The sequence below is a fragment of the Homo sapiens genome, chromosome 12, assembly GCF_000001405.40.
Source record: "Homo sapiens chromosome 12, GRCh38.p14 Primary Assembly".
Classification (NCBI taxonomy): domain Eukaryota; kingdom Metazoa; phylum Chordata; class Mammalia; order Primates; family Hominidae; genus Homo; species Homo sapiens.
Genome location: NC_000012.12, coordinates 53,684,100 through 53,699,206, shown reverse-complemented (window position 1 = coordinate 53,699,206; position 15,107 = coordinate 53,684,100).

Genomic DNA, 15,107 nt, shown 5'->3' with positions numbered 1-15,107 from the left:
CTCCCAACCTGAGCTTTGGTTTCTTCTTCTGTGAAATGGAGGACATGAAACCTACCTCTCAGGTTGTTGTGAGGCATCAATGGGAAAGCACAATTAGTCGGGTGTGGTGGCATGCACCTGTGGATGCAGCTGCTCCAGGGACTGAGGCAGGAGGATTGCTTAAGCCCAGGAGGTCAAGGCTGCAGTGAGCCCTGATCCAGCCTGGGCAACAGAGTGAGACTCTATCTCAAATAAAATAAAATAAAATAAAATAAAATAAAATAAAATAAAATAAAATAAAATAAAATAAAATAAAATAAAATGGGAAAGCAGTAGACCAACAGGAAGGGGGTCCACTAATTTTTATTATCACTCTTAATGTCTTCCTAGCTACCACTTCCACTTCACCACCTTTACTTCTGCCTCCTCTTCCCCATCACCCTTTAACCTAGCCTATATGCCAACCAACCCCCACTCAAATAGGGGGCAATAAGATATGCAGGCAGGCTGTGCCCAACCTGGAATGAATGTTTCTATATGTTAGTGTCTTATCAGAAGACAGAGATGAGGCCAGGTGCGGTGGCTCATGCCTGTAATCCCAGCACTGTGGGAGGTCAAGGTGGGTGGATCACTTGAGGTCGGGAGTTCCAGACCAGCCTGGTCAACATGGTGAAACTCCGTCTCTACTAAAAATACACACATGGTGAAACCCCATCTCTACTAAAAATACACACACACACACACACACACACACACACACACACACATTAGTCGGGCATGGCGGCATGCATCTGTAATCCCAGCTACTCCAGGGGCTGAGGCAGGAGAATCGCTTGAACCTGGGAGACGGAGGTTGCAGTGAGCCGAGATTGCGCCACTGCACTCCAGACTGGGCGACAGAGCGAGACTCCATCTCAAAAAAAAAGAAGGAGGAGGAGGAGAAGAGGAAGAAGAAGAAGGAGAAGAAGAAGAAGATGAGGAGGAGGAGGAGGAAGAAGAAGAAGGAGAAGAAGAAGAAGAAGAAGAAGAAGAAGAAGAAGAAGAAGAAGAAGAAGAAGAAGAAGAAGAAGAAGAAGGAAGAAGAACAAGAACAAGAACAAGAACAAGAAGAACAAGAAGAACAAGAAGAAGAACAAGAAGAAGACAACAGAGATGAGGACAGGGGACTCCAACCATCCTCGGGCATCTGGAGGCAGTGTTTTACACATAGCCAACTGTCTCTAAGCTCATTCCTTGGCAGTAACTATTTTGATCTCCATTATTTGCATGGAGGGTGTAAATTAGCTCCTTGGAGTACTGGAGGGTCTGGTTGTAAATGACTGTGTAGAAAGAGTCCAGGATTTAGGGAATTAGGAGGGAGCAGGAGCTGGGGAATCAGGGTGGAGACTGGAGGCTTGAACTTATCCCGGAGCAAGGTCAAAGGGCCCTTTAGGGGATCGCAGAGACAGAAACCAAATGTCCGGGCTCCCAACTTCCTGCCAACCCAGTTTTCCAAACCCAAGGATTTGGGGTCTCCTCCCTCTTGCCCTCTCCTACACTGATGTCTCCAGCCCAAGGCACTCAGCCAGGAATTCTTGAATTTACTCCTATGTGGATAACCCTGAAGAGCTCTCAGTGTAGGTCAGCAAGTGAAGAGCCAGAGAAAGGAAGGGGTGTAACCCCCCACCACCCCACTGTGCTCAGATCTCCAAGCACCATTTGGGCAGGACCCCCTGCTCCCACACTTCAAGGGCAGGAGGAGCCGCAGAAGGAAGCTGAGGCCCTACGTCTGTTTCCAGCCTCTCACCCCCGATCTGCGTCTCAGGGAGGGTGAGGATTTGGCGTGAAGGGCACAGCGGCGTGGGGGGCGCGGATCTCTGGCCCCCATCTCCCCCCATCCCCAGCCCCGACTCAGGCTGCAGTCTCTCCTCGTTGTAGCAGCGCGAGAGCAAAGGGACGGGCAGTAAAGATGAGTGATGGCGCGGAGACAAGCAGAAATACACCATCATGAAAATGCTAATGACTCCTTGCTCTCTTTCTTTATGGTTGGAGTAATACAGACTTCAATCATAAAAACAATCTCCCAACATTTTAATGGGCTCCATCATGCCCGCACTTGTCGGTATATTTGAAGAATAAATCACCCTCCCCGCTCGGAATGAATTCGCTGTCAAACTCGGCTCCCTCGGAGAAAATGGATGGGGAGAGAGGATGGAGGGTTTTTTTGGGGGGGGGGTCCTCTCCCCCTCTAACTCCCTCCTAAACTGGATTGTTTTGCGAGATGCCTGGATCTTGAAATGGAGGAGGGTCGGTAGGGAATTGAGGAAGCTGAGCCAGAAGGGAGGGTTTTGGCAAACCCGGGGCGGGACGGAGGAACTTCACACGGAGAGAAGCTGCCCCTTAGGTGGACGTGGAAGAAAGGGGCTAGAACACTGGCGGCATTGGAGGGAAGGGGCAAAATCTTGACCTTGAACCTAGAGAATGCAAAGAAGATACAGAAAGCATGCAAATCCGCATTATTTCAGGTTATTTGGTCGGACTTCTTTCAGACTAGGCCTTAGGCAGGGCGCAGAGGGAAAAGGCAATATTCAAGAGATCTCCTTTGAGGAAGAGAAGGCAGGACAACAAGCAAGCCCAGGAGTTTCGGCTCCGACCTTGCAGGTTTCAGCGCACTAAGCCACAGGTCGGTACGGCTGAGAAGGGCCTGAGAGTCCCGGGTAATTCTTATTTCCATACAGGTGGCCGTCAGCCAATGAAAACTTGGGATAAGCATACTGCGAGTAGCCAATCCCAGTTAAGGATGAGCCGAACTGACAGGTTTAATTGCATCTTGATTGGTTGTGATGTTGCTAGGCAGAAATCGGGTCCTGGAGATTGATGCGGACAAGAGGGAAGAGACAGATGAATAGAAAAATATCTGGAAACCTAGAGTCCTGGATTGACATGTTTCTTCCTGAGCTCCTTCATTCTCAAAGGATTGATGGGGTCAGAGGAATGACTCTCCCTTTTCTCCTTCTCTTGAGTGGGACAGAGCCCAATAGTTATATGTGTTCCCCCAAAAGCCTTCCAAGAAGTCTGGCTATTTCGAGGGACTTCTAGTCCGAAAGCCCCCCGGGGGCGGGGAGGGTGGGTATTTCAACCTCACCCCAGGTCTTCCAGAAGACTATCTTCAAGCCTTCTGGCTGTAGTTTAAGACCAATTTTCTCTAACATGCTCAGGAAATAGAGAAATCTTGCTCCACACCCGTCCTTCATTCATATCGCATGACTCAAGGAGCAAGAGATTTCCCTACCTCCTGGCCTCTCCACCCAAGGGTGCCCTCCAGATCCAGCGAGGGGTCAAAATCCCAGACCCAAAGGTCTGTGTAGTGGCGTTCCCAAACTCGCTCATTCTGAGCCTTCGTTTGCACCTAATTTGCAGAGAGCATGTCCTCCCCTCCTAACCCCCAACCCCGACCAAACCCACCTGTCTCCCTGCAGCCCCAGCCCCTCTCCCGCCACCCGGCATCTGCGGTTCCTCTTCCTCTGCCCAACTCGCCCCACATCCGACCCCTCTGTGCAGCCCGCCCGCCCCCGCCCCAGCGCGCCCTCGCCTGCAGCCCCCTGCTGGAGACAGGGCCCGGAGCCTCCCGCGACTCCTGAGTCGGAGCCTCCCGCGACTCCTGAGTCACAGCCTCCCGGGAGGCCGCAGGGGCCGGTGTGGGCAGAGGCGGGGCCCGCCGCGGGAGCTGCGAGCTCGCGGTTCTGAGCTAGACCGTCCGCGAACAATATGCCACCATTTAAATCTGAACACGCGCCAGCCGCCGATGTGATGTTAATTCGGAGATGATTTAGGGGGGTGGTACGAAGTGGGGGGCTGGCCGCCTCTCTGTCAAAGTGCTGTCCGGGACCTTAATATTTGTAATTGAAGCTGATGAGGACTCCGTCTCTGTTTCCGCTGATAAAAAAAAAAAAAAAGGCAGGGAGGGAAAAAGAGCAACTAAATTATGGGGTAGGCAGAAAAACATGATTAATCAAAGGTTTGAACTGTCGCCGTGTTCGAGGCCCAGTAAATCTCGTCCGGCCGGGCCCTGCGGAGGCCGAAGGATAAATCTGAGCCGCCCAGTGTTTGCCGCCCCTTTCTGTTTGCCTCTGGGTTCGTACGTCAATTAATTCAATAATTGGATTTGAAGAGATGTCAGGAGATTATAGAAGGAGAGCCGGGAGGAGTGAGTGTGGAGGAAGGGGTCTGCGAGAGCCAGCGGGGTCAGGTGATGGAGGGACACGGAGAGCCGGGCCTGCCCAGGGAGCGCTTCATCCAGCTTGCCTTGGCTTGGGGTTTGCGAGGAGGAGATGCTGGGAAAGGTGGCTGACCTGTGCCTTATTCTCAGCGACGGTTCCCAACCCACCTCTCCAGGCACCGCTCTCATGGAGAAGCTTTCCCAAATTCTCCTCTCTCAATTCTGCCGACTCCTTTCCCAGTTCCGCTCTCCTTTTGAAGCTGATGAATGTCTCTGCGTGATTTCATTCGCAAGTGTTTATATGTTGGTTTGTGAAGAAGTGCATTGTTCCCTCTGGTTCACCCCATCTGACCTGGAGTTTTCCCCACATAGACTGAGGGTTCCCAGAAAGGCAAGGACCAAGACTTCTCTTGGAATCCCCATCCGCAAAGGTCAGAACAGGACTTTTTTTCCTCACCCCCCAACTTCCCCTCCCACTCACACTTAGAATTCTAACCTACAGTCAAAGCTACCTTCTGCTTAAGGAAAATACCTTTACAAAAACATGACATACACACACACACTGACCCCAAACATTTGGTCCCCTCAGCTGCAGCCTGACATAGAAGTAGATGCTTCAGAATTTCGGCCCTTCAGCAACCTCGGGTGAATCCACCAAAAGGATGGACCCATCTCCTAAAAGGGAAGTGATCTTGATTTGCTATTTGGGAGCATGGCAAGGTTAGGGGAGAGATGAAGTCTGCCTGCCACTGTGTGTGTGTGTGTGACAGACAGAAAGGGGTTAGTGGGGAGAGAGAGAGAGATGGTGGGTTTCCCTCCCTGGTCTCTATAGAATTTTATGCAGGAATGGAGAAAGTTAAAAAAAAAAAAAAAAAGCCTACAGGAGAACCATGTAAATGATTCTGAAAAATGACAAGATGAAATTGGAAGCCAGGGAAGGTGATGAGGGCAGAGAAAAAAATGACGTCCTGCCAGGCTGCCTGGTGGTAAAGAAGCCCTACAGAAGGACACCAGCAGGCACCTCAGTGGAGGCTGCAGCCAGTCTGCCCTAGGCGGAAATTCTGAAGCATCTACTTCTATGTCAGGCTGCAGCTGAGGGCCTGGGGACCAGCGGTTTGGGATCAGTGTGCATGTGTATGTAATATATTTGTATTTTCCTTATATATATGGTGAGAACAAAATACACAGCTACCCTAGACACACAGGCAAGGGAAACTAAAGAGGGAGAGCTGAGTCAAATAACAACATGAGGAGTATAGCAAACCAATTTTTATTTAAGCACAACAATTTTATTTTTAAATTTCATTTTTTTGAAATGGAGTCTCGCTCTGTCACCCAGGCTGGAGTGCAGTCCCGCAGTCCTGCAATCTCGGCTCACTGCAATCTCCACCTCCCGAGTTCAAGTGATTCTCCTGCTTCCACCTCCCGAGTAGCTGGGATTACAGGCGCCTGCCGCCACACCTGGCTAATTTTTGTATTTTTAGTAGAGACGGGGTTTCGCCATTTTGGCCAGGCTTGTCTCGAACTCCTGACTTCAAGTGATCCACCTGTCTCGGCCTCCCCAAGTGCTGGGACTACAGGCATGAGCCACCATGCCTGGCCTAAGCACAAGTTTAAAACACTGACTGAAGCCAGCCAGACATGCTCACTTGTTCAGATAATTATCATTCTGGCCAGGCATGGTGGCTCACACCTATAATCCCAGCACTTTGGGAGACCGAGACAGGCAGATCAAAAGGTCAGGAGGCCGAGACCAGCCTGGCCAACATGGTGAAACCCTGTCCCTACTAAAAATACAAAAATTAGCTGGGCGTGGTGGCACGCACCTGTAGTCCCAGCTACTTGGGAGACTAAGGCAGGAGAATCGCTTGAACCCAGGAGGCAGAGGTTGCAGTGAGCTGAGATTGTGCCTTTGCACTCCAGCCTGGGTGACAGGGCGAGACTCCGTCTAAAAAATAAATAAATAAAATTATCATCCTTTGTCTCCATATGCGGGAGGCAAAATTCCATCTATGAAAGGACAAAGTGGAAGATTTAAGCAGCTTTGGTTTCTATGTGGAGGCTCCTCAAAGAAGTCAGCCTTTGCCTGCTCTTTCTTGTTACTTGGTCTCAGTCTGTTAATGGTATTGATCCAACTATCCAGTCAAAAACGAATTGGGGACTGGGCACAGTGGCTCACAGCTGTAATCCCAGTACTTTGGGAAGACAAGGCAGGAGGATCACTTGAGGCCAGGTGTTCAAGACCAGCCTGGACAACATAGCAAAATCCTGTCACTATAAAACAAAATAATTAGCTGGGCATGATGGCACACAACTTTAGTTCCAGCTGCTTGGAAGGCTAAGGTGGAAGGATCACTTGAGCCCAGTAGGTCAAGGCTATAATGAGTCATGATCGTGCCACTGTACTCCAGCCTAGGCAACAGAAAGAGACCTATAGAGGAGATGATACAGGGAGAGCTGGGAACAGTGCCTGTGGAGGAAGGGGTCTGTGGATAGCAGACACCTCAAAATAAAAATAATTAAAAAAATAAAGGCCAGGCACAGTGGCTCACATTTATAATCCCAGCACTTTGGGAGGCCAAATCCAGAGGATGGCTTGAAGCCATGAGTTTGAGACCAGCCTGGACAACACAGTGAGACCCCCATCTCTAGTAGTTCTAGCTACTAGAGGGCTGACGCAGAAGGATCACTTGAGCCTAGGAATTCAAGGTTGCGGTGATCTATGATTGTGCCACTACACTCCAGCCTGGGCAACAGAGTGAGACCATGTCTCTGAAAAAAACAAAATGGACCCACCCCCTTCCTTTTAGTCATAGCCTGGTTTTGGTTATATGCTCTGTGAATGAACTCTTGATAGCAAGCATTCTGTATACTGGGAAATGTTCTCATTTAAACCTAGAAATTGTGCCGATATACCTTTACAACCATGAAAGTATATATATAAACCTAGAAATGGTTTCTATTTCTATTACAGTGGCTCCTGCCTATAATTCCAGCACTTTTGGAAGCTAAGGCAGGAGGATCACTTAAGCCTAGGAGTTCGAGACAAGCCTGGACAATATAACAAGACCCTGTCTCTACTAAAATAAAAAATTAGCCATGCATGGTTGTTGTATTAGTCCATTTTCACACTGCTGTAAAGAAGTACTTGAGACTGGGTAATTTATAAACAGAAGAGGTTTATTTGACTCACAGTTCTGCACAGCTGGGGAGGCCTCAGGAAACTTACAATCATGGTGGAAGGTGAAGAGGAAGCAAGGCATGTCTTACAGGGCAGCAGGAGATAGAGAGAGTGAAGAAAGCCACACACTTTTTTTTTTTTTTGAGACAGAGTCTTGCTCTGTCGCCTAGGCTGGAGTGCAGTGGCGTGATCTCAGCTCACTGCAAGCTCTGCCTCCCAGGTTCACGCCATTCTCCTGCCTCAGCCTCCTGAGTAGCTGGGACTACAGGTGCCAGCCACCAAGCCCGGCTAATTTTTTGTATTTTTTAGTAGAGACTGGGTTTCACCATGTTAGCCAGGATGGTCTCGATCTCCTGACCTTGTGATCCACCCACCTCGGCCTCCCAAAGTGCTAGGATTACAGGCGTGAGCCACCATGCCCGGCCAGAAAGCCACACACTTTTAAACCACCAGATCTTTTGAGAACTCATTATCACAAGAACAGCATGGGAGAAACTGCCCCCATAATCCAATCAACTCCCACCAGGTCCCTCCATGGGGATTACAATTCGAGATGAAATTTGGGTGGGGGCACAGAGCCAAACCATATCAGTGGTGCATGCCTGTATTCCTAGCTATTTGGGAAGATGAGGTGGGAGGATGGCTTGAGCTCAGGAGGTGGAGGCTGCAGTGAGTTATGATGGCACCACTGCACTCCAGCCTAGGCAACAGAGCGAGATCCTGTCTCTATAATAATAATAATAATAATTAATAAACCTAGGAATTGAGGAACGGTGTCACAGGAAGAAATTAGCATCAGGGGTCCTTCTTCCGCAGCTCTCTCTACACTCCCCCATCAGCCAAGCCTTTCGTGAAGCCATCAAAGTCTTCACACTTAATCTCTCAAAAAAGGACATCTGGCCAGGCACAGTGGCTCATGCCTGTAATCCCAATACTTTGGGAGGCCGAAGTGGGCAGATCACTTGAGGTCAGAAGTTCAAGACCAGCCTGGCCAACATGGTGAAACCCCTTCTCCACTAAATATATAAAAATTAGCCAGGCATGGTGGTATATGCCTGTAGTCCCAGCTACTCAGCAGGCTGAGGCAGAAGAATCACTTGAACCTGGGAGGTGAAGGTTGCAGTGAGCCGAGATCGCACCAGTGCACTCCAGGCTGGGCGACAGAGCAAGACTCCATCTCAAAGAAAAAGGACACCCATCTTGTAAATGGTAATACTACAGGCTGCCCCTGATACCACAGGGAGATGAAAGATGAGATTCTTCTGCAGTATAATTGTTCATGTAAAAAAAAAAAAAAAAAGAAAGAAAGAAAAAAGTAAAAGAAAAGAGAAAAGAAAGACGAGATTTAAAGGATCATCACCACCAGATTTAGGCAGCTGAGGCTGGTGGAAAGAGCACTGGCCTTGAATTCAGAATAATTAACCTTAGGTCTGGGGCTGTCCCTGTGTGATCAGAAGGGGCTGAAGACTTGAGAGCTGAAATGACTTCTGCGGCTCACTCAGTGAGTGAATGGCAGGGCCACCTCAAAAACTCAATTCTCCACTCTCCCAGTTTCTTTTATAGACAGCACAGTATGGAATCAGACTTCCTGGGTTCAAATATAGCTTCTCCTACTTACTAGCTGTGACTTAGTTCCCTCTTCTGTAAAGTAGGGATGATAATAGTTTCCACTTCACGGAGTTGGGATTTAGATAGTTAATGTAAAGAAATCAGGCCGGGCTCAGTGGCTCACGCCTGTAATCCCAGCACTTTGGGAGGCCAAGGCAGGCAGATCACCTGAGGTCAGGAGTTTGAGACCAGCCTGGCCAACGTGGTGAAACCCCGTCTCTACTAAAAATACAAAAATTAGCCAGGCGTGGTAGTGCGCACCTGTAATCCCAGCTCCTCAGGAGGCTGAGGCAGGAGAATCACTTGAACCCGGGAGGCAGAGGTTGCAGTGAGCTGAGATGGCACCACTGCACTCTAGCCTGGGCAACAGAGTGAGACTCCATCAGAAAGGAAGGAAGGAAGGAAGGAAGGAAGGAAGGAAGGAAGGAAGGAAGGAAGGAAGGAAGGAATCAGCACAATGTCTAACACACAATAAGTGTTCAATTATAGCTGTTTTTATTATGATGATGAACATAGTTCTCATAATCGACCAACCTGAATGACACAATTGGCAAAAGGTATTCATCACACCTGTAAAATCCCTAAGGAAAGGAGTTAGCACTGCCTTGAAAAGACAGTAGACTCTGCTTTGGTGACTCTAAAGAACACTTCTCCTCTCAAATCATTCTTACACCATTAAGACAGCTAGATCTAGGTTCTTACAGGAGAGGTACACCTGGAACAGCCGTATCAGTAGCTTGTTATTCAGTTGTCTCATTAATTAATTTCCATTCATTGAATGCCTATTGGAAAAGCAGCATGATTTGTCAATCCATCAAACCTGTAGTGAAGTACCATTATGTGCTCAATACTTTTATAGGCAGTTATCAAACCATGAGTCCATTACATTATTAGCTACTCCAGGGATATATATAGAATTTTTTAAACTTTTAATTTAAATTATTTTTAAAATAGAGACAGGGTTTTACTATGTTGTCCAGGTTGGTCTCAAACTCCTGGGCTCAAGTGATCTTCCCACCTTGGCCTCCCAAAGTGCTAGGATTACAGGTATGAGGCACCATGCCCTGCCTCATTAAAACCTGTTCAGGCACAGTTCAGGCACATAATTTTTTTTTAATATAATAGAGACAGGATCCTGCTACGTTGTGCACGCTGGTCTCAAACTCCTGGCCTCAAGTGATCCTCTTGCCTCAGCCTCCCAAAGTGCTAGGATTACAGGCATGAGCCGCCACGCCTGGCTGCACATGAGAACTTAATACATGTATGTTGAATGAATACACAGAAACCATGGGAAATTTTAGAGAATAAGAATTACAGTTCCTGCCCTTGATAAGCTAAAATTCTAGTTGGGGAGGCAAGACTTGCACACATGTAAGAGAAACAGAACAAGACAAGACAATGAACATACTAAGACATAAGTAAGTTCTAGATGACATAGACTGTGAAGAGCTCAAGGTAAGGGTGGAGGGCAGCAGGCAAGAATGCTAACATGGAAGAAGTGGGCCTAAAATAAAGAGTAGAATTTGGGGTTGGGTGGCCAGGCATGGTGACTCACACCTGTAATCCCAGCACTTTGGGAGGCCGAGGCTGGTGGATCATCTGAGGTCAGGAGTTCGAGACCAGCTTGGCCAATATGGCGAAACCCCATCTCTACTAAAAATACAAAAATTAGCCGGACGTTGTGGTATGCGCCTGTAATCCCAGCTACTAGGGAGGCTGAGGCAGGAAAATTGCTTGAACCCAGAGGTGGAGGTTGCAGTGAGCAAAGATGGTACCACTGCACTCCAGCCTGGGCAACAGAGCAAGACTTCGTCTCAAAACAACAACAACAACAACAACAACAACAAGAATAGAATATGGAATGACTGAGGAGGGAGAAGACATCCAGCTGCAAGCTGGACAAGAGTGACAGCATGTGGTAAGAATCTATACATGTTCAGGGACAGTGACTAAACCAACTTAATGAGAGTTTCAGTGTCTGTGTTTAAAAGACAGAATACAGGCTGGACACAGTGGCTCATTCCTGTAATCCCAACACTTTGGGAGGCCACGGCAGGCTGATCGTTTGAGCCCAGGAGTTCAAAACCAGCCTGGGCAACACGGGGAAACCTTGTCTCTATAAAAAAATTTAAAAATTAGCCAGGCATGATGGTGCAGCTATTTGGGAGGCTGAGGTGGGAGGATCACTTGAGCCCAGGTGGCAAAGGTTGCAGTGAGCTGAGATCGTGTCACTACACTCCAGCCAGCATGACAGAGTGAGACCCTGTCTTAACATAAATAAATAAGGGCCGGGCACAGTGGCTCACACCTGTAATTCCAGCACTTTGGGAGGCCGAGGCAGGTGGATCACCTGAGATCAGGAGTTCAAGACGAGCCTAACCAATATGGTGAAACCCCATGTCTACTAAAAATACAAACATTAGCCAGGCATGGTGGCGTGCATCTGTACTCCCAGCTACTTGGGAGACTAAGACAGGAGAATTGCTTGAACCCGGGAGACAGAGATTGCAGTGAGCCAAGATCGCGCCACTGCACTTCAGCCTGGGTAACAGAGCGAGACTCCAACTCAAAAATAAATAAATGAATAAATTAATTAATTTAATTAAATTAAAGGCAGAATACATATGTGTTTGCAACCATGTGTTTCTCTGATTGTGTTTCTAGTCACAAGGAATGGTGTTTGGATTTTCTTTTATTTTGGATTATTCACACCTTTTCTCCCTCTGTCTTAACATGAAAATCAAGAATCAAAACAGTAACCACCTGCTACCCTCAGCAAAACAAACAGATTGTAAAAGCAATTACACCATTACCACTTCTCATTTATCTGCATACAAAATAACTTCCTCTCCCTCTTTCTCCCACGTGGTTCCAGGCTGAGCTGGGATTATTACTGCCTAGATTATTACTGTCTTCTTTATAAATTCCTTTTTCTTAGACTCACTTCTGCCAGATAGCCTTACCAAAAAAAAATCATATTTTTTTCCCCCAGCCTGCATGGTTACTTTAAGGGAAGCATGGTAGTGAGTGGGAAGAAAAACAATGTGAACTAAGTAGCGATTATTAAATACCAGGTGCTTTGCACACATTTGCTTAATTCTCACAATAACGCTGTAAGGTAGTTATTATTATCCCCATTTTACAAGTAAGAAAATGGAGACTCAAAGAGCCTGCTCAGGTTCAAAGAAGAATAAAGAAATATTACAATAGGGATTTGAACTAGCTCTATATCATTTTGGAGTCCATGCCTTTAGACTTGGCCAGAGGGATTTTATCTTTGGTGCTTGTTTTTTTAAAGACGGCCTCATCCTCCTCCAGAAGGAGGATAACTTAAGGCCAAGTGGATATGTCTACCCAGAGCTCATTTCTCCCCACTCCTAGACATGCTCCAGTTACCAGAATCCCCTGTTGAGCAGCCCCTTCCAAGGCCACAGCCCACAGCCTCTTCCTGGGGGCTGATCTCTTGAGAGCACAGACTGAGCTACTGGGGGCACATTCCTAGTCCTGTTGGCCTGTAGTGCAGATGGAGTTTAGATGTATGGCCTTACTGAGCGCACACTTTTGTGTGAGGCCCCTTCGGCAGTGGGACAGAGCCATGAATGGAAAGAGAACATGAGGCAAACAGGGACTTGAAGGAATTCCAGAATTCTAAATATAAACCTTCCAGTTGATATTGATATATTTGTCAAGATAAGAGGGTAGGACATGTTTACTTAATGGTTTATTAGCTTTGATTTATAACTTTTACATATTTAGATATTTGGTATCGGGGCCTAAATTTTTCTCTTGCTGTGAGCCCCACAAATATTAGAGGTGGGCTCACTCATCTCACTACAGCACTCTGATTCTTCTTTCTGCCCTTCCCATTCTGTTCTTCATGGCTAGAAAGCCTCCAGACTTGCCCACCAGCAATTCCCCCTCTTCATTCTCACAGCTTGCCAAATTCACCTTTTCATCAGAAACTTTTCAGCTTATTACAAAAGGGGCTGCTGATTTCTCACCCTTGCCCTTCCATGGTTGCCGTGACTTCTGCTATTCTCCACCTAAAGAGGATGTAACTAACTTACATTGCATACTTGTAGTCATTTTTTTTTTCTTTTTGAGACAAGGTCTCACTCTGTCACCCAGGCTGGAGTGCAATGGCGCAATCTTGGCTCACTGCAACCTCCGCCTCCCGGGTTCAAGAGATTCTCCTGCCTCAGCCTCCTAAGTAGCTGGGATTACAGGCATGAGCCACCACTCCCAGCTCATTTTTGTACTTTTAGTAGAGACAGGATTTCATCATGTTGGCCAGGCTGGTCTCGAACTCCTGTCCTCAAGTGATCCACCCACCTCGGCCTTCCAAAGTGCTGGGATTACAGGCGTGAGCCACCGCACCCGGCCACCTGTAGTCATTTTACTGTCTGTCCTGCCACTCTTCTGTCCTGTATGTCTAGGAGTCTTCAGGCTGCTTATAGTACCCAACAGTGGCTCCCTTGAGCTACAACCCTGTTTTAGCCTCTATGGAGAGAGATTGTGGAAGATTCTTGCTCTCTGATGAGCTTTAATCAAATACACAAGGGCCTAGTGAGTCAGGTAAGTTTGGCAAAATAAGAACAGAACCAGGGGTATCTAGAGAGAAGTTTCCATTTCATTTAGTGGGAAGAAAGTAGAGGGAATAGAACCCAAAGAAAAGGTTAAACCAATGCTGGGTAATTGGGTACAGGACCAAGTTTAGAGGAAGGTTAGCCTTAGGGGTAGGCTCCTAGGTTGTAAAGCCTGGCGGGGGTGGTTCCTAGAATGTGGAGATGGATTAGGCTTGGGAGAGAGTCACAGAATGGCACCACTCGGTAACCCAGGCCAGAAAACTGAGCGCCATCTTCACCTCTCCCTTCTCCTTTATCTCATACACCAGTCAATCACTGAGGCCTGTAAGGTCTTCCTTCGAAAGCTCTCTGAGCTCCTCCTACTCCTCACCATCCCCACTATCACCCCCAAGCTCAAGGCACCCTGTTCTCCCACCTGGATTTCGACAACAGCCTCCTTTTTGCTCTCTGTGCTGCCAGGCCTGCCCTTTCTCATCAGTCCTCCACACTAGAGCTAGAATGATCTTTTTTAAATGCACACTTGAGCCTCTCACTCTCTTGCTTAAATGACTCCTTGTTGCTTTCTGGATGAAATCCAAATGCCTTAGCTCGATGTTCAAGATCCTTCAGGATCTAGCCACCACCAACTAGTCTCATCTCTCTGTATCCTGCCACACCACAACTGTTCATTCTGGCCACATTGAATTACTTGCCCTCTGTTGAAAAGATCACTTAATCCCTCACTTCCAAGCCTTTGTACATATTGCCCCTACTCCGTGGAACATCCTTTCAGTCCCTCCCTATACAGTTTTTTTAGGCATCTCAGAAATGTCACCCCCTTCTGGAGGCCTTCCTTGACTACCCCTTCTCAGCACTGTGATGCATGTCCGTCCTATGTATTTCCATAGCACCCACTGCTTACCCTTTTTATAATACTATTGTTCTGTGTTGAAATTATTTGCCTTTTATTTAATAATCCTGTGTATCCCCTGTTAGACTATAAAGTTGTTAAGGGCAAGGACTCTATCTTATGCACTGTTTAATCATTCACAAAATTTCTGTTGAGAGCCTAGTATGTGCCAGGTACTGTTCTAAATGCTGGGGATACAGTGATGAACAACGTCCCTGCCTTAGGGAAGCTTATCTTCTAATGGGGTAAAAGCGATAAAAAATAAAAATAGTTCAGTGGGGTGGCTTAAGCCTGTAATCCCAGCACTTTGGGAGGCCGAGGTGGGCAAATCATCTGAGGTCAGGAGTTCGAGACCATCCTGGCTAACGTGGTGAAACCCCATCCCTACTAAAAATACAAAATTAGCCGGGCATGGTGGTGCATGCTGTAATCCCAGCTTCTCAGCTGAGGCTCGAGAATCACTTGACCCCAGGAGGCGGAGGTTGCAGTGAGTTGAGATCGTGCCGTTACACTCCAGCCTGGGCAACGAGAGCAAAACTCCATCTCAAAAATAAATAAATAAATAAATAAATAAATAAATAAATAAAATTTAAAAAAATACATAAGTGCTAAAAAGAAAAATAAGGAAATATAAAGGGATAAAGAAGAGAGGGTGATGGCTATTTA